Here is a 19918-nt window from a genome sequence, read left to right as displayed (position 1 = left end):
ATAGTGGTCTGTCTGTAGACTCAGGTGTCTATGTGGTGCATGGGCACCACTCCTGCCTGGCTGCCCAGGGCCTGGAGACCCACCAGCCCACTCCATGCTGTCTCAAGGGCACACACTCTTCTCCCTGTGGTCCATACTACCAGGAATCCTGCCCTCCCTTCCATGGCAAAGGCTTCGGACTCACTCTTCCAAGGAGAGAGAACCCCCAAGAGCACCAGCTCAGATACATGCAGATGTGAAATCTTTAGAATTCTTTGAAATTGACGGCAGCGGCATGAGGGCCTGACCGCTTGCTGCAGGGGTAGCTGTCTTTTGACTTGGGAGGTAACAAGCATGGACTGTGGTCCTCTGACTGTGAGATCACGGGCAATCTTGCTCTACCACCCACTGCTGTGTGTTATTGGGCAAACCACTTAACTTTTCTGAGCCCTGGTCACGTAAGTTAAGACCCAGAACATCCTCCCTGCCCCCTGCACAGAACTCAAATGACAGAAAATGTTTTCATGTGTTTTGCCAGCCAGGCAGCACTGTGCCCACCCGAGGAGGTGTTGGTGAGAACACAGTGGCTACATAAAGGGAAGGTACTTGCAACATGTACTCCTGCCACCCCTTACCTTGAGAAGTCTTCTCATCCCTGGGCCTCATAGAACTTTGGGGGAGAAATTTAGAGAAGTTCCAAGGGTAGTTTCCCTAAGGGGCAGCTTCCCAAGACAGCATTTCATGTTGAATCCATGTAGACTCAGGGAACTGACCTAATGACTAGAAAACGAGCATGTGTCCACTTGCTTCAAGGCCCAGATAGTCCTTTCAAGTGACCAGACCTGTCCTGTCCCCTCCATAGGGCTCTCTCCATTGTGGGAGGATTGGAGGCTGGTCGCCTCTGCGGAGATGAGGCCTGAGCCGCTGTGACTACTCTCAGTCTATCCCTGCTCATTCCCAACTCTGGGGCAGGCAAATGCCCCTGCCCCAGTGTGGCCCCAGCTCCCCCTGCTGGCCAGGATGCTTCATCTTTTTGGGTTGTCCTCTCAGATTAGCTACAAAGGGTGCTGTCCCTAGTCTGGGCATGGTGCTCTCCCCCTTCAAAGGCAGCCTCGTTGCTTTCCTTCCTACCCTCGTGGACTGGATCTAAGCTGGCACATCCCTGTGCCAGGTGGGGCTCACAGGCCCTGGGAGAGGGCAGCATCCCTTACCCAACCCTGCCTGGGGGAGTCCTTACTATGATGCTATTCATTATGCATGTAGCATTATGCACATACTGTTATGTACTCGTGGTGTCCAAGGTAGGACAAGCTCAAGGTCCTGAAAGAGGGACCCCCCTGCCATGGGCATGCTCAGTTTGCAGGTAGGGCATAGTCCTTGAAGGATGCAGAAATTTCAACAAAGAGAGACCTGGGAAGACAAAATGAGAATGCAGTTGTGGAAGCAGATGGGCCAAGGAGAGTGATGGATCCAGTAAGGTTTGAGTTTCCTGGGGAGCAGGGCTGGAAAAGTGGATGGAGTCAGATTTCTGGATGTGGGGGTCTGGGGAAGGAGGTAAGGGGGTGCTCTGGAGCCCTTTCATCCCTTTCATCCCAGCAGGGGGATGAGGTGACCAGGGCCTGCCCCCTGTGAGGCTGGCCATGGGGCCTCCCAGGTCCCCCCACCTGGCAGCTTCTAGCTGCCACAGGTTATTTCCCCCGCTATGCTGACCCCAGGACTGAATATTTTATGAACTGGTTTCTCCTGTTCTCAAAGGAATATTTATTTGTTTTTGTTTGTTTTGTTTTATAATAGCTTTATTGATTTATCATTTGCATACCACAAAATTAACCTTTTTAAAATAGATACTTTAGTGGTTTTTGGTATATTCACAGAGTTATGCAGTCATCACCATTATCTAATTGAAAAACATTTTTATCACCTCAAAAAGAACCTTCAGCCCATTAGCAGTCACTCCCCATTCCTCCCTCCCTGGCAACCACTAAACTACTTTCTGTCTGTATAGCTTTGCCTATTCTGGACATTTCATATAAATGGAATCATGCAATATGTGGTTATTGTATCTGCCTTCTTTCTTGGCATAATGTTTGCAAGGTTCCTTCATGATGTAGCATATGTCAGTACTTCATTTCTTTTTGTGGCCAAATCATATTCCATTGTATGTATATACCATGTTTTATTTATTCGTTTGTCAATTGATGGACATTTGGGTTGTTTCTGTTTTTTGGCTGTTGTGAGTAATGCTGCTAGGAACGTTCATGTACAAATTTTTGTTAAGACCTATATTTTCATTTTTCTTGGGGATATACTTAGGAGGGGAGTTGCTGGGTGATATGGTTTCGATGTTTGTCCCCTCCAAATCTCATGTTGAAATGAGATTCCCAGTGTTGCAGGTGGGGACAGGTGGGAGGTGATTGGATCACGGGGATGGCTCCCTCATGAATGGCTTAGCACTATCCGCTTGGTGATGAGTGAGTTCTTGTTCAGTTCACTCAAAATCTTGTTGTTTAAAAGAGTGTGGCACCTCCCCCATCTCCCTTGCTCCCAGTCTCACCATGTGACTTGCTTTTTCCCCTTCCTCTTCTGTCATGATTGGAAGCTTCCTGAGGACTCACCAGGAGCAGAGGCTGGAACCATGCTTGTACAACCTACAGAACTGTGAGCCAGTTAAACCTCTTTTCTTTACAAATTACCCAGCCTCAGCTATGTCTTTATAGCAACACAAGAAAGATTAACACACTGAGTCATATGAAAACTCTGTGTTTGGGGATATTTGTTTTTAAATTCAAATGAATAGTACATGAGTGTTTAGGAGAGAAGCCATCCTTGGTTGTCCGAACTTCCGGAAGGGAGGCTGCCCTTAGCCTGGTACTTCCCCAGTGAGATCCTGGGGTTCATTGGCACTTTGGATAAATCTTTTGCCTGCTGGCTTCAGTTTTCTGATCTATGAAGTGGGGTTAGTACGGATCTTTGCTCACCTCAAGGGCTTCTGTAAATAGCTACTACTTGCCTAGCATATCAAGGATAGCAAAGGACTTCTGCTTGCTTTAGGTACTTTCATTCTTCAGCCCTACAAGTTGAATGTTATTGCTCTAGTTTTGCTGATGAGGAAGCTGAAGCTCAGAGAGGCTAAATGACTTGCCGGAGTTCACAATATGGGTCGATGGCAGAGCCTGAACTTGAACCCAGGCTCACCAGAGTCCAAGTCCCTGGCCTGAACCCTTGCCTCAGATGTGTCTCTAAGCAAGGCAGGGCCCAGACATGGCCAGTTGTAGGCTCTGAAGCGGAGCATGCTGTAGGAGGGCAAAGGATGCTACAAAAGTCCATTTTGAGCTGTGTGACTTTAGATAAGTTGTTCCACCTCTCTGAGCCTCAGTTTCCCCATCCACAAAATGGAAGCAATAATTACAACTTACAGCACCACAACAAGGACTTGGGAAGATGCTGTACATGAAGTGCCGGGCATGATACCAGGCACACAGAAGGTAGTTGGTAGAAGGTTATAGGGCACACGAGGAGGGGTGAAGAGGATGCAGGGTACTGTGGAACTGTCGGGGAGAAGTGGCTGGCTTCTGGGCTGGTCAGAGCAGGCTTTAAGGAGGAGACCTTGCTTGGGCTGGCCAGGAAGGTGAGCAGAAGGTGGAGAGTCCCCTGGGAAGGCCCAGTGTTTACTGACCTGGTGCTGCTGAAAACCATGAGGGGTTTCCAGGGTTCTCAAGAGATCTCCCATGTTGGGAGTTTGTGGACAGCCTCTGCTGGTGCCCCCAGCCCTTACCCCCAGGCCAGCCTGCAGATGCCTGAGAGGGGGGCTCACATGACTGCCTCAGTTAGCCCGAGTGGTAATAAAACACTTTAAGTTTATTGTGACATTTGGATTTAATTAAAAAGTACACACTTAGGGAAGTAGAACATAATGGGGAGAGAGGCAGGGTGGCTTTTCCCCTCCTTTCTTCCCCAAACTAATTAGCGTTGTATTTTAAATTGTTTATGTGCTGCTAATCATCGTAATAAATCATTTATACTGAAAAAGACACACTCGGCTGTGCCCGCCATGCGGGTTCCGCTCACAGGGCTCTATCGTGAACAAATTGATCTGGAAGTGAATTTATTAACCACTAGGGAAGAAATCATTAGTGCTTTCTCTAAACATTCCCCAGGTACGCTTTATTGCTGCAGTTTATGCTGTAACTAAGAGGAGCCTTACCCAGGCCCATGTTGTAATTTCCTTGCAAAGCCAGCAGCCCACTCCCAAGCTGGGGGCTAGGAGGGGCTGGGGAGTCCCTGCCTCCTCTCCTATATGTGATCTGGTGACCCCAGCCTCCTTTCCCGGTGCTCCTTATTCCAGAAAGGGCTCCCTGTGAAGCCCCTGCAGGCCCGAGGCCACGGTGGCTGTATTCTGTTGTCTCTTACCCACAGGGTGGTTCACACTCATTCATGTTTATGTGTCAGGAGTATGGCTTAAAGTTGGGAGCTAGCCAGGGGTTTGGAAAACTCTGGGGCTGGGGCTGAGGGAGTCAGTGATCTCAAAGAATCTTGTCATAGACCAGCTTCCCCACCCAGAGATGGGGAACACATGCACTGTGAGCTGATGATAGGCTGGGAGGCACAAATGGGGCTCAACAGGGACCCAGGCAGGAGTGGGGGGCTGCAGCCGAAGCTGCCAGGAACATCCTCTGTGGGCTCATGCCTCCAAAGGCCTTCCTACTGTGGGCCTGGGGCCCTTTCTAGGGTTTGGCTAGAGCAGTCTGTTCTGGCTTGGTGAGGCCCACTACCCCGTGCCTCCTTGTCCACCTCACCTGGGTGCAGGGCCCAGATGGTACTTGTACTCCAGACATGGTCTGACAGATGACAGACAGCATGGCTGTCAGCTCCCTGGCTGCAGACTCTGTGCTCTGGATAATGCAGCCTGCGGCCATACCAGCTTGCCCAGCAGCCGGCCCACCCTGCTGACTCTCACACGGGATGACACTTTCCCTTTGCACTTGGGAGCTTCAGACCACTCTCACTTCACAGGGGCTGCACTGCAAGACACTCACAGCAGGCTTTCTCCCACCAGGTTTCCGGAAGAGACATTCACTTCTGAACAAGGATCTTCTGCCTGGGAGCCCATGGCTGGTTTAGGATACAGATCCCAAACTGTCTGATTCCAAAGCTTGTATTCTAAACAGCTTCATCTACGGATGCTCCCTGAACCTCCTCAGCCATGCGGGGGGCTGAAGGGAAATCTGGCTCACGTGGGCCTTGCTTTCAGCGTCTCTCTCTCTTATCCAGGTCTGCAAAGAAGGGCTGAAGCAACCCCCAGGGCCTCAATAGGAAGCCCCGGGGCAATGCCTCAGGCAGGCATCCCAGAGGCAGTGCTGTCTCAGCCCCAGCCAAAGGGGTTTCCATCCCTGCCGCTCTTGGGGGTGGGGCCTGGATTCTCCCTCTTAACCCCCAGCCCTTCCTCCCCTCACCCAGCCCCGTGGCTAGCAGATGGGCTCTGGCGGCTTCAAGAAGGAAGCAGGACCCGGCAGCTGCCTAGGTCCAGCTTGCCGGGAGGGTCCCCTCTTTGTGCCTGGAGAACACATTTAAAAGTTTGAATTCAAAATTGATTTTGAAGGGCCCTAATCTCCCATCCCCTGGTGCTCATGGTGTGTCTGCAGCTCCTGCCAGACTCTCGTTTTCTGGTTCAGCGCGCTGGTGCTCACGTCCCTGATGCTGTGAAATTGAGACTCGTCTGAGAGTCCATGTCCTCCTCCTCTGTGGAGACTGCAGGCCTCTTGGGAGCCCTGTTTCATTAGATGGGTGACGCGGGCTTTGCGGGTGCCCAGGGAGCAGCTGAGTTGCCGTCAGGGGAACACAGCTTCCAGATGCTCTCCACCAGTCCCCACAGCTGTGCAGCTTCAAGCGGCATCCCGTTAAGGAACACAGGGGCTGGCTCCAGCAGCCCAGGATGGGATGGGGGTTGGTGGAAGCTACAGACTGAGAAAGGCTTGGGCCTGGGGCTTTTCTGTAGCAAACTCCAGGGGTCGCTTCCTCCCACTGGCCCCCAGAGACACAGACTATGCTGACAGGGAAGAGTAGTCATTTTTGTAAGCCAAAAAGACCCTCAGGCAGGGAGCTGGGGAGGCTAGGTCTGTGCCAGAGGTGACAGCCAGAGCTGCTGGAATTACAGAGATACCCGCTACCCCCTGAGGGCTGAGATGGGTATTTATGTGTAAAGGGAGGCACGCAGTGGAGGCAGGGGCTGGAGGATGCGTTTTTGCTGCTCTTTTATCTAAAGGATAAAGGGTTTATATTTGCATGAGAGCTGTTGTTCCTCAGCTGGAGCCCTGGGATGGCTTCTCAAAAGCCTGGATTGTGGCAGCCATGACCCAGGAGCTGCTGTGGTTGAATCTGCTTTGTTTGTTAGGGCCACATAGCTACAGGTACCTAGGGGGTGTGGCACAGGGGCAGCAACAAGCCTGATTAAGGCTCCATCTCTAGGGGCCCTGCCTATCTGAATTGGCCCACTCTGGCCAGCAGATTCTTGCCAGTAATATCTGGATAGATTCCATTCAGTCTCTTCATGCATGAATTGAGCTGATGGCTAAACAATGACTGCTGTGGGGCACAACACTGGGAACACAATAGTGGACAAGGCATGTAGGGCCCCAAGAACAGCCTTCATGGGGCTTTTGTTCTTATGAGAGTACCCAATCAATCAGACTTTTTTTTGTTTTTTTTTTTTTTGAAACTCACAGAAAAGTAAAACAATTACAAATTGTGATGAAAAACTCAGAAGGAAATTACTGAAGTGTGGGGAGCTCATTTAAATAATGAAATAAGGAGGTCAAGAAAGGCTTCTCTGAGGAGATGACATTTAAGCTGAAGCTTGAAGATGAGAAGGAGCCAAGTATATGCAGAGGCAGAGGCAGGGAAGGGTGTTCTGGGAAGGTAATAGCATGTGCAAAGGCCCTGAGGCAGGAAGGAGTTTGGAGTATGGCTGGAGCACAGTGTGGGAGGGGAAGGCAGACACCAGACCACATGAAGATGTTACAGGCTGGATGAAGAGTCTGGGTGTTATTCTCAGGCCATTGGATGTTATGGAAGGGTTTCAAGTTGAGCAGTGACCTGCCCTGGTTCATCTGGAAGATCTCTCCAGCTGCCGTGTGAAGAATTGGCTGTGGGTACCAGACATCATGCCATGCTGGCAGTGCATCGAGAGACGGTGATGGCTGTGGAAATGCAAGATGCAGGTGGGATGAGGAGCAAGAGTTGGCAGGGAAAGGGGTGAGGGGGATGGAAGTCTGAAGACGACACTTAGTTTCTGGCCAGAGTGCTGGGTGGATGATAGTGTGGGAGGGAGGAAGTCTGGGGTGAGGGTACAGGGGCCAGGTTTGGGGAAGAAATCAGGAATCCTGCTTTGGACCTGTTGTTTTTGAGCTATGTCTGAGACTTTCTAGAGACAACCAAAGAATGGAAAGAAAATGCCAATACCCATCCTGGAGAAGGAGAACACATTACAGATAACTATGCAATTAACGTAAGCCTCATTCCAAGTGACAAACTCCAGTGAGCACATGCAGCTTCTGATGTTTCTAAATTCCCCCCACTAAAGAACCACAGAAAATTATGTGAGGCTGTGAGAGCAGACTGCATCTACACCTGCTCCAGAATCACTATGCTCCAGAATTACATCCAGGCCTTCCTGCAAGCTCTCTATGATCTGAGTGTTTGTGTCTTCCCAAAATTCTTATATTGAAATCCCAACACCCAATGTGATAGTGTTAGGAGATGGGGCCGTTTGGGGGTGATTAGGTCATGAGGGCAGAACCCTCATGAATGGGATTGGTGCCTTCTTAAAAGGGACCACAGAGAACTCCCTTGCCCCTTCTGCCACGTGAGGATGCAGCAAGAAGATGGCCATCTAATGATCCAAGAAGCAACTCTCACCAGACACAGAATCTGTTGGTGCCTTGCTCTCGGATTTCCCAGCCTCCAGAACTGTGAGAAATAAATTTCAATTGTTTATATGCCACCCAGTCTGTGGTATTCTGTTATGGCAGCCTGAACCGACTAAGACAGTCCCCTTAGGCTGTTGCTGTTGCCCCAAACCAGAGTCAGCTTCCCTCAACAAGGAAGATCTGTGGGGGATGTGTGGAAACTCCTCAGTCCCTTTATGTCATGGTGAGTTCAGGCTTTAGATGCAGTATTCCTAAGGATAGGTTATTCTTCACCAAAACGCACTGCAAAAATGCAGCATATGAAGCTTCCCGCTTTGTACTCCTCCACAGGAAATGGCCCCTCTGGGGAGCTCTGGGGATCAGCAGCCCAACCTTTCCCTGACAAGGGGTCTTTTATATTCCTGCAAGGAGTGTTTCAGAGCCGTCTTCTTTTGGTAGGGTCCAGATTGGGTCCAAGTTCACTTTCCCCATTGCTTGGAGAAAAGATGACGTGATGCTGCCTCTGGCCCTGGGACACAGCAGGCAGGGTGTGGATGCCTCCTGGCCAGCAGCCTGGATCTGCAGCCTCGCTTTGGCCACTGGTGGCTTTACCCTTGGGCAAGTTGGTGAGTTCTCTGCACTCAGGGTCATGACAAGCATATGTTCCTGGTACAGAGCAGGCACTCAGTAAGGGGTAACATGGTTTACTGTCATCTGGTTGAACATGACTATGGTGGCTGCAGGTGCTGGGGGTGAGACTGGACAGTGCTTCCCTTAGGCCTTCCCTCCTGTGGTGGGCTCTAGCGTGCAGGAGAAGCTTGGCACTTAGAGCAGACAAGCATTGCTGGACTTCACCCTGAACCAGGCCCCTCTCCAGGACTTCTTCAGCTCCAAATGTCTCACCCTGAGCTGGGCCTGTCTCCAGGACCTCTCTGCTCCCCGCCCTACCCATCCCCTCATTCACACACAAGGCCCTGGCTGTTGGTTGAGGCTCCTGCCATCATTATAGCCCTGGGTCTGGAGTCCCCAGCCCAGCCTCCTCCTGAGGACGTGTGCCATCTCAAGGCTTCTTTGTCCTTCTCAAAGCTGCGATGCAGACATCTTGGCTCTGCTTCTACATGGCCCTCTGCTCCCTTCCCAGCCCTGTGCCCTCTTTTTACTTAGTTTCTGGTCCATGCCCCCTTGCTGGCTCTGCCCAGAAGCCCTTTCAAGATCCCACAGCAGTCATAGCATTTGAAGAACCAATAGATGAGTGGGAAAGTCCTGTGGTCCACCCAGAGACAGTGCCCTGCATGGACAGTCATTCCTCTTGGTTTTAGCCCGGGCCCTGATCTAAGTATGTCCCCAGCCCCCACCCCAGCACCATCTGGCATCCAGGCTGCACCGGAGAATCCAGGCTGTGCAGGGAAGCCCTGGGCGTGTGCTGGATGGGAACTTGAACTCTGGATTCTGACAGGCCAGGATTCCAATCTCTGCCCTGCAGCCTCCTAGCTGCATGACTTTGCATGACCTGAAACTTCCCAGGCCACCGTCTTCTCATCTGTGAAATGGGGGTAATCATTTAGTGCATCAGAGTTAATATGAAGATTCATTGAGATAACACTGTAAGATGGTTAGCCCAGCACCTGGCACAGTGACTGCTGAGTAAATGGTGGGGTTTATGAAAGGCATACAGAGCTCTGATGAGGGCATCTCCATCTCAGCTCCGTTTTTAAATTGGGTATCACATATATGCAGTTAAATGCTCAAGGCTCAAATGTTCAGCTCAGTGAATTTTTGTACAGGTATGCACCCATATCAACACTCAGATCAAGACATAGGACATTTTCAGTACACTGGGCTCCTTGTCCTCCTCTCAGTTGATAATATGTCCCCCACCTCACCCCAAGTAACCAGTATTCTTTTTTTTTTTTTTTTTTTTTTGAGATGGAGTCTCACTCTGTCGCCCAGGCTGGAGTGCAGTGGCGCGATCTTGGCTCACTGCAACCTCTGCCTCCCAGGTTCACGCCATTCTCCTGCCTCAGCCTCCCGAGTAGCTGGGATTACAGGCACCCGCCACCACGGCTGGCTAATTTTTTGTATTTTTAGTAGAGACGGGGTTTCACCGTGTTAGCCAGGATGGGCTCGATCTCTTGACCTCATGATCCGCCTACCTCAGCCTCCCAAAGTGCTGGGATTACAGGCGTGAGCCACCGCGCCCATCCTCCAAGCAACCATTATTCTGACATCAGATCGGTTTTGCCTGTTTGGGAGCTACATATAAATGAAATTATACAGTATGTACCTTTTTGTGTCTAGCTTCTTTCATTCAATATTATATTGTCTGATTCATCCAGGTAGTATATATTAGTAATTCATTCTTTTTAATTGCTACATACTATTCCATTGTACGAATATACCATAATTTATTTCGTTTTACTGTTGATGGACATTTATGTTGTTTTCAGTGTGGGGCTACTAAGAAGAAAACGTCTATGAACATTTTTGTGCATCTGTTTTGATGGACATAAGCTCTCATTTCTGTTGGGCATATACCTAGGAATATAATTGTTGGGTCATAAGATACAACTAAATTTTCTCAGCTAATTGCTTTATGCTACTATGCCAAACATTGTTATAAGTACTTCATGTTGATTATCCAATTTAATCCTCAATCCTTTAAAGTAGGCTGTCCTCATTTAGCAGGTTAGTAAATTGAGGCAGAGCTGGGAAGCACCAAAGCCAGAATTCAAGCCGAGGCTGTGTGTCTGCAGGGCCCACAGTCTCAGGGCCTACACTACCCCACCTCTTCTCACAAGCTCCCTTGAGGGGTGAGCAGCACCAGAGTCAAAGCTGCCAGTCCCTCTACTGAGCTGACTGCCACCCCATGGGCGGAGCCTAGCCTCTCAGCCTTCCTCTCCCTGCCCTCGTGGGGAGCTGGAGGCCATAGGAGCCCCTGCCTCTCTCCCTCATCCTCACAGTGAACACGCTGCCTGCAAGAGGGTGTGCAGAGGGGCGGTAATGAGCGTGCTCTGGGTGGCTGTAGCCGCGCGTTTCAACAGTTGTTCTCGTTGGCTTTTGATTCCAAATGAGTAGGAAATGCTATTAGTTCAGGCCTCGCCTGCTGCATGGCAAGGCCCTGGAATAGGAGTGCAGTGAGACGAGAAATTGTGGAGATAAAACTGGTGTGAAATGGAGGCCTTCTCACAAGGCTGGATGTGTCCGTGCGAAATGAAGTTACTTCTGAGAAAACGAGATTTAAAGAGATTCTGCAGAGTTAGATTACACTTTCAAATTTCCTTATTAAAGAGGATTGATGCCTAGGAGGGGCTGCTGGTAGGCTTGGTTTGGGATCCTACCCTGCAGTTCCCGGGCCTGGGTGTGGGCCCAGGCAGGCAAAGCACCTTACAAGGTGACAGGGACCCAGACCCCCGAGACCCAGAGAGTGAGTCTCCCCACCTCCAGCAGCTGAAGTAGGCATAAGGATTGTGGGATCAACTTCTGGGTAATGTCTGACGTTGCACGTGGGTCCATGAGGGTAACACTAGAGGGTTCATGCTCTTCCATTTCCTTCCATCTTCAGGCCTCTTACTTGCGGGTTTTGTTGAAATCAGAGCTTGATTCTAAGCTCTGATCCACTTTTTGACACTGTAGTCTTTTAAGAGACTAAACGTGCGTGCGGCTGCTTGTGCATATGTGTGCATCTGTGCATAAGTGTATATTTATATAAGCACACCAAAACGCATGCTCATACACACACATGCGTGTGCTTAGATGCATGGGTATGTATTTTCATGCAACTTACTGAGCACCTACTGTATGCCAGCGCTGTGCTGGGTACTGAAATAAAACTGTTGTGGGGAGAATAAAACAGACACAGTCCCTCCTCACATGGACCTAGTGTACGTGTGTGATCATGTGGACGTGGGGAAGTATCTGTGTGCTGCTGTGCATGTGTCCTGCAGCTGTGTGGCGAGTGTCTGCATGCTCTCCGTGTGTCTTCTAAGCTCTGTGAAGTCTCCTGCTTGGGTCTCAGCCCCCCTCAGCATGCAGCCCTGCAGCACAGCACATGAGTCCAGTACTTTGGCCCTAGAGATAGACTGCCAGGGTTCACAGGCCAGCTCTTTCTCCTACTAACCCCAGCACTTTGGGAAGTTGAGGTGGGAGGATTGCTTGAGCCCAGGAGTTCGAGACCAGCCTGGGCAACATAGTTGAGACCTTGTCTCTGAAAAAAAAAAAAATTCCTCCCCCCAAAAATTAGCCTGGCTTGGTGGTATGTGCCTGTGGTCCCACCGATGCAGGAGGCTGAGGTAGGAGGATCGCTTAAGCCGGGAGGTTGAGGCTGCAGTGAGCTGTGACCACATCACTACACTCCAGCATGGGAGACAGAGGAAGACCCTGTCTTTAAAAAAAAAAAAAAATACCAAGGCTACACTTGCCTCCAGGGCTCTTTCCAGAGCAGCCAGAGGGTCCTGGAGCTGTCACCCTCTGAGTTGCCACAGCAACTGCTTCCCATGTGGCTGGTCACTGGAACAGCCTGTTGGACAGATAGGGTGGCTTCCTTCTACACATACTTGCACTGACCACTAGACTGGCCTTTGGGTGGAGCTGGACTATGGCCAGTGCCAGGGTGACTTTAACCACAGTAGAACAATCAAATCAGTTCGTTGCTCCTCAAAATAAGTGTCTCTCACTATCCTGTCTCATGTGTTGAGGAGAGTGACACTAATCAGAGTGAACGTTTTGCTGTGGCCCTTAGTCCTTAGCACATCACATAAATTAACTCCGTTCTTTCTCATGGTGACTCGGAAATGAGTACTGTTTTCATACCCATTACACAAAAAAAGAAAACTGAGAAAATGTTAATCGAAGTCACACAGTCAAAAGTGTCAGACAAACCCACATTGAGAGATATTCCATGAAATGACTGGCCTGTACTCTTCAAAAATGCCATTGTCTTGAAACACAAAAGAAACGTTTAGGAATTCTTCCAGATGTAAGTAGACTAAACTTGACAACTGAATGCGATGCAGGGCCCAGGATTTTTCCATAAAAGATATTTTTGAAGAAATTGGTAAAATCTGAATGAGGTCTATAGATTAGATAATAATGTTATGTCAATGATAATTTTCTGATTTCAATTATTATACTGTGGTTATGTAAGAGAATGTCCTTGTTTTCAGCAAAGCATTTGCAAACCGAAAGTATTAGGGGGTATAGAGGCTTCCTGTTTGAAACCAACTCTCAAATGATTTAGGGAAAAAATTATAGGTAAGTAGGTAGAAGTAGGTAGAAAGATGGAGGTTAAATCAAATGTGGTAAAATGTTATATGTAGGGAATCTGGGTGAAGGGCTTACAGGAATTTTTTCTACTATTCTTGCAAGTGTTCTGAAAGTTTGAAATTATGTCAAGAGACAAAAAGTTAAAAGAAAAAGAAAGCAAGTGCCCGAGCAGGGATGGTATCCTGGGGTGACTGTTAATACTATCAGTTCCTGTTCACTGTGCCCTGGGCACCAGACTCTGTGCTATGGCCTCATGTGCAGAAGAACCTCATTCTATCCTCACCACATTCTGAGCGGAAAGACCACTGTGGCTCCCAGTACACACATGCCAGTCAGAAAGGTGGGGGGATTTAATCCAGGCCCCCCAGCTCCTTGGAGCAGTTCCGACTTGAAACTAGGCTCCCTGATTTCAAGGTCTGAACTCTTAGCCTCAGTCTCACTCTTGACTCTGACCTTTTTGGGAGAGTGGGGATGGGCAGGACAAAGGCGTTTCTTCCTGGAGTAGTAGCAGAGTGAAGGCCCCGGGACACAAGCTAACAAGATCCATTTGCGGGAGGGAGAGGAGCTGTGTTCCAGGATCCTGCAGGGGGCAGAGCCAGCAGTGCCAAGCAGGAGACACTGGCTTGTGGGAGGGGCTGCAGATGCCCAGTGGAGTTGCCAGGAGGTGGCCACAGTGGCTTCCAGCAGGGGAGCCACGGGGAAGAGCCTGGAGTGACCTGGAGCTGGGTGAGGTAGACGTTCTGGGCTGGAAGAGTGGCCTTGGAGGAGCTCACTGGGGTAAGCATCCCCCAGGCTGCCATCCAAACCAGGGGCACTGGTAGTACTGGAGCCTGTGGGCTTGGCAGTTTGGGAAAGTCCACGTGCTGGAGCTGAGGGGCAGCTGGGCTGGGACAGGTGGGCAGGAGTTGCTGGGGACTTGGGTCTGGCCTAGTGGACTGCTCTGGGGTCCATGTGAAGATGAGGGCATTTCTCCTCCGGGCTGGAGGGAGAGAGTGGGAGGGGCGGGATGACCTCTGGCAGTGCGTCCCCGTCACCTGGACTGTCTGGCTTTCCCCCAGATTAAAGAGTGGAGGGTGAGTGTCTGGCAGCCAGATGAGTCAGACTGGGAGGCTTCTCTCCCAGCCTGGCTGCCTCCTTCCACCAGCAGCCCTGCCTCCACCCCCTGCTAGAGGTAGGGGTTGGAGTTCAGCCTGTTTCCCCTCCAATGTTGTTCCCCCCACATCCTGAGACTTAGGGGTGACCCTGGGTTGAGTGGACTGGTTTATTCTGCTGGGCCCAGCGCATGCATCTGAGTGTGTGCCCAGGCGTGCGTGTCGGCGCAAACATCATCCATTGTGAAATATCAGTGTTTTCATGGGTGAGTAGTAATTACTGGGTAATGCTTTAAAACCTTTCCTGAAGGAGCGCAAAGCCATTTTTTTCTAAAGTCAGGAGTACATTAAAAGGATTACCATGTAGATTTGATTTTTAGATAACACTAAAATGGATCCCAAATGGACTTCAGCAAAGGGATGCTATCTCCTTAATGGAAAGTGCATGGCCCGAGGCTCAGGTCCCAGAGCCAGGCTGGGGAAGGAGGGAGGGAAGAGGTGTCTGCAGGGGGGCAGGCTGGCAGATTGGGTGGGGGGCTAGGTGGGAATGGGGAAGGCAGAGCAGGAGGGAGGGCCTGGACCCTGTGGGGAGCTTATCCCTCCATCTGGGGAGCAGGAGACTACAGAGCCCCTCCTGAAAGCCCCTCCACCTTTCCAGGAGTGTTTTCAAGTCTCCTGGACCAGCCCGGTGAGAGCAGACACAGCATGGATGCCCTATGAGGAAGGAAGGCTGGCTCCACTGTTTTGTTTGTTTGACCCCCAGAGCTCTTCCACTCTCCTGTGAGAAGCAAGGGATTGCTTCCGTTTTTCTTATGGGCAGATGAAGGAAGTTAGGCCCAGAGAGACCAGGGGGATATGCTCTGGACCCCATAGCCACAGGACTGCAGACCTGGAGTCTGGTCCCAGGCCCCTCCCATGGGGCTGCCCTGGCTCAGGCTTCCCCCAGGATGCCAGCCTTTCTCGTGGGAGGTCTCTAGACCCAAGGGTCTCTAGATGCTCTGGGGCCTTCTCAGCCAGGCTGACCCTGGTGTTCCATGTCTTGGTGGACATGGGACACTTTGGCAGAAGCTGTGTGGCTTCTATAAGAGTTCTCCAGAGCCAGGAATCAGTTCAGCACCCCAGAAGAGGGAGGGGTGTCCAGGTCTTAAGGTAACCTGCCTGTGCAGAGGCCAGCCTGGGCACGGGCAGTGGGGAGGGGGACCTGCGGCGGCTGGCAGCTTCACCCCTCATGGCTTCCACAGGGTCCTCTAGGTGCCAGATGCCTCCAGTGAAGAGATTGTCGACCAGTGCTGGAGTTTACAACCCTGCGGGAGCCAGGACAAACATGCTGGGGTCTGAGCTCGGAAGACCAGCCTGTCCAAGAGCCAGGGTAGATGGAAGAGAGAGTGGGACAGCTGCTTCACGTGCTGGGGCCTCTCACTGTCTCCCTTCATTTTGGGCTATAATTTAGTGGGCTAGGGTCTCCCCTGAGTACGGAGGTTCCAGCCATTCACCCATGTTCTGGTAATAGCCCAAATATAGAGCCCTGGGAGGGGCTCAGGACCACTGGGAAGGGAGCCAGGCCTGCTGCAAGCCTGGCTGAGCAAAAGGAACGTGAGCCTTGTAGGGGCTGTAGCGGGGGCCTGGCCCAAGATTTTCCCAGTCGGTGTTTGAGTGCGTACCTCTGCTGGCTGCATGCTCCCTGCACAGGGCCTAAGGACAAGGTCATGCCCTTGGAGCCCTACCCTGGTCCAGGTCCCACTCTGGGAGGCCCCTCATTTCCCCATCCAGCTATTTTAACTCCTCTCCCATTTCCCCACACCTCCCTGTAGGCCAGGACTTGGAAGGAGCCTCACAAGACCCCTTCAGTTCTCAGGGGTATCTGCTCCCCAGCTGCCCTCCTTGGGCTCTTTCAGAGCTCTGTGCCAGGCTGGGCCCTGCTAGAAGAGACACAGGCAGGCCCGAGGACAGAGTCATCCTGTGCCCCATCCCTCTCTCAGACCAATTAACCTTTAGAGCTGCATTAAGGAAATTAGGCAGCACACTCACCAGCTAACAGACAGGCCCTGCCGGGACTGCAGGGAGGAGAAGGAGGAGGGAGCCACTGGCCCTGCACACTGTAGCCTGTGGGTGGGCGCCAGCTCCCCAGACTCACCTGTCCAGGAGAAGTCTGAGGAGCCAGCTGGGCTGAGAGCGAGCACAGGAGAGGAGAAGGAGCCCTGGGGCCAGCTTGACGGTGGCTGACTCAAGCCCCTGTAACTGTCTGAGCCTCAATTTCCCCATCTGTAGTATGAGAACATTTAACTGGGAGAACTCTGAGGGCTCTTCTGACCTTACATCTGTGGATTCTGAGACCAAGGCCTCTTGTGGCTTGTTCTCCCCTAACGCCCAAGGAGGAGAGAAGCAAAAGGAAGGGAAGCAGCCCAACCATTCAGACTCTGGGCTGGGGGCAGTGAGGAGGGCTGGGAATGGGAGGGACACCAGGGGATGGGAGGAAGGCCAGAGCCCTGGAGAGAGCAGGGGTCCTTTGGAGAGGACGGGGCCAGTAGAAGGACAGACTCCAGGGGAGTGTTGGAAAGCCGGGGAGGTGGGGAGGGGTGGGCCCCTATCCAGCTGCGCCTTGGTCAGGAACGGAGCATGCACACGCTCCCTGTCTTCACAAGGGTTCTCAGGCAACTGCCACAGGCTCCCGCCCTGTCAAGTCACAGAGCAGGGCTTCTGAGGTCCTCTGCACTTCCCTCCCAGCCTCACGGGTCCACATGGATGTCCAGGCTACTGGACGACATATGTCCCCATCTCCTCCTCAACGGTCCCTGTGGTTCCAGGAGAAGGGACTAGGAACCCGTGCCTCTGTCACTTCATGCCCACACCTGCACGTCGTGCCTGTGTGTGAGGGGTGTGTGTGAGCGCACATGCTCGCCTGCCGCGACGGGAGGCTCTGCCCTGTGGTGAACATCACATTGGGCCCTTTGTACTTGGTGCCTGTGTGTATGTTGGGAAGCTGGTATGGGCCCTGGGAGGGACTGATGGCTGAGAGATCCTAATCCTGGTAGAATGAGGAAGGATCCAGAGGCTCAGAGCCTGCCCTCCCCCAGGCCAGGGCAGGTGAGGTGTGACACCGCCTGAAGCATTCCCAAGGGGAGCCCCAGCCAGGCCCTGCCAGCTGCCTCCGCTTACCTGCCAGGAGCCCCAGAGCCTCTGCTCCCTCCTGGGAGTGTCCCAGGGGCGTCTCACTTCCTTCTTGATGCCATCACAGCTCTACATGGATAGACCAAGAGGCTGTAGCACTTCAGCTGGAGAAAGACGAGTTGGCACAAAGATCTGGGGGTTCTAGAGGACCTCGTGGGCCTGAGGAGACTACATTTCTTAGGCTTATTGCTGAAAGAGCCAATGTGATGGTGGCTTCACAAGACGAGCTTCAGGCTTACTCCGGATGAGACCGCACAGGGGATAGAGGCCATGGTAGGGAGGAACAACTCAGGGAGGCCAGGCCTGGGGTCTGTGTGTGCCTTGGAGCAGAGCAGCCTCTGGAGGGACCTTCACAGGGCCAGGGAAACAGGCTGTGCCATGTAGCCCAAAGGGCAGGACCCGGAGCCAGGGGAGGAGGTTATTGGGGAGAAAGCGAGGGCTCCTGGGAGCCCCAAACCTAGAGGGGGCAGCAGAGAGAAGCAGTGAGCTCCCCATTCTTGGGGGATATTCCTTGAGGCCCAGAGCTACGGGGCCCATCCTGCGTTGCTGTCTGTCTGTCCGTCTGCAGGCGTGCCGATGCTCTCCGTCCAGCCCAAAGGGAAGCAGAAGGGCTGTGCGGGCTGTAACCGCAAGATCAAGGACCGCTATCTGCTGAAGGCATTGGACAAGTACTGGCACGAAGACTGCCTCAAGTGTGCCTGCTGTGACTGCCGCCTGGGCGAGGTGGGCTCCACCCTCTACACCAAGGCCAACCTCATCCTGTGCCGACGCGACTACCTGAGGTGGGCTGCCAAACCCTGGCCTCCCAAGCCCTTGTCCTGCTCAGAAAGCTCCCCATCCTCAGCCCCAGCGTGACTGTGCCCCCGGCCCTAGACCCAGTACCCTGTGTGTCCTCTCATTCTTGACTGTCCTGCCCCTGCCCTGCTTGCCCCAGATACCTGAGAAGTCACCTGAGGGGAAGGCCCAGGTCGTTATGCCCTTGGACTCGGTACCCAGCACAAGTCCAGGGCAGGCATTTGTAACCTGGGGCCCCTAAGTTAAGCTTTCCGAGGGCCCCAGTCTGGCTCCGCCCCCCTGCCTTGGCCAGGTGCTTCTGACCCACCTGATCTGGAATCTGGGAGGGGATACCTCAGAGGGGCTTTGAGAACAGGTGTGGAAGCTTTGACTTCCCCAGGACCCTCCTCCCTAATGCAGTCTCTTTCCATCTCCCAGTGTCCAACTTTCCTTTCTAGATGGTCCTTGGGAGCAGGCATCCATTTGCCCAGGGAAACTGGCAGGCAGCCATATCCTAGGAGCAGGGCCACTGATGCTGGAGCTTCAAGACCTGGGTTGGAACTAGCTGTGAGCCTTTGGCTCCTAATCTTCTCCCAGCCTCAGTTTACTTCCCCGTGAAGGGTGAAAGAATGATGCTTCCCTGCCTTGCATTCCTCTGAGCTCTAACTCACCCTCCCTACAATTTGGATCCTATTCCCTGGGGCCACCTCCCCCAATTAACCCTCCCTGAGGCCATTTATGACATCAGCAAGGCTGGAAGGAGGCCACAAAGCAGGGCCTTGGCTGAGACCCAGCACCTGCATTTGGCTCTGTCGCAGGCTGCTGGATGGTTGCCGGGCTTGTGGGGAAGGAGGGCTCATCGCATTAATTAACAGGTCGGGGCAAGGGCTTCATGGGGCTCCCTCTGCCCAGGTCTGGGCATGTTGCAAGGGGGAGGTTATCAGTGGAAGCTCCCTCAATTCCCCAAAGATCCTTTGACTGACCTGCCTGCCCCTTTTAACACCTGCATTTAAAAGTGATGCAGTAAAACAGAAGCTGTGACTTAGTGCTCCTTGCCAGGGCTGGAGGGGAGAGGCTGAGACCAGAAGCAGGGGTTAAGGAAGAATGTTCAGGCTAGGCGCGGTGGCTTATGCCTGTAACTCCAGCACTTTGGGAGGCCGAGGCAGGCACGTCACTCCAGCTCAGGAGTTCGAGACCAACCCTGGGCAACATGGTGAAACCCCGTTTCTAAAAAAAAAAAAAATTAGCCAGGTGTAGTGGCTGCATGCCTGTAGTCCCAACTACTCAGGAGGCTGAAGTGGAAGGATTGCTTGAGCCCAGATGTTTGAGGCTGCAGTGAGCTGTGATTGCGCCACTGTACTCCAGCTTGGGTGCCAGAGCAAGACCCTGTCTCAAAAAAGAAAAGAATGTTCCTGGGGATTCACCCCTTGAGGACCTAGAAGGGGCCTCCATGTCTGGAGGTTTAGGGCATCACCTGGGGGCTGACTCTACCAGGTTAGGACGATGTGGCAGACCATCTGATGGGTTCACAGGACTTGGAGAGAGAGGCCCACAGTGTAGGATGGGCTTATCAGGAAAAAGCACCCTCAAGCATATAGGGCCCTGCCAGCTACTAGGGATGGAAGGTAATTTTTTTTTTTTTTTTTGCTCTGGCAGAGGCAAGGAGTGACTGTAGGACCAGCTAGACCAGTGGGCTGGGATGCGAGCGTGGCTTCCTTGAGCTGCTCAGGCCTGGAGAAT

General features: G+C 52.2%; 1 protein-coding gene and 1 long non-coding RNA gene across 10 annotated transcripts in view; one reads left to right on the top strand and one right to left on the bottom strand.

Annotated features, from left to right (window-relative positions):
- Positions 1-19918, top strand: part of LMO1 (LIM domain only 1) — a 44479-nt gene that overhangs the window by 20311 nt on the left and 4250 nt on the right. For 4 of the 7 annotated variants that reach the window (NR_073006.2, NM_001270428.2, NM_002315.3 and 1 more), the window contains exon 2: positions 17973-18186. Coding sequence is in view for 6 of the 7 variants with exons in the window: in NM_001270428.2 (NP_001257357.1) it covers positions 17973-18186 (214 nt within the window). In the remaining variant the exon portion in view is untranslated. The other 3 variants (XM_006718228.4, XM_011520098.3, XM_011520100.2) reach the window with 3 other exon arrangements.
- Positions 15458-18596, bottom strand: LOC105376536 (uncharacterized). Of its 3 annotated transcripts, none has more exons than XR_007062582.1 (4): positions 18507-18596; positions 17393-17473; positions 16371-16498; positions 15458-15540 (listed from the first exon to the last, which is right to left on the bottom strand). It is a non-coding gene; the product is annotated as an uncharacterized LOC105376536 (long non-coding RNA). The 3 variants fall into 3 exon arrangements; XR_007062583.1 differs by having other exon boundaries at positions 17393-17508; positions 18507-18547; XR_007062584.1 differs by lacking the exon at positions 16371-16498 and having other exon boundaries at positions 15465-15540.

Source organism: Homo sapiens, chromosome 11, assembly GCF_000001405.40.
Source record: "Homo sapiens chromosome 11, GRCh38.p14 Primary Assembly".
NCBI lineage: Eukaryota > Metazoa > Chordata > Mammalia > Primates > Hominidae > Homo > Homo sapiens.
This window is presented reverse-complemented; position numbering and strand designations above follow the sequence as displayed.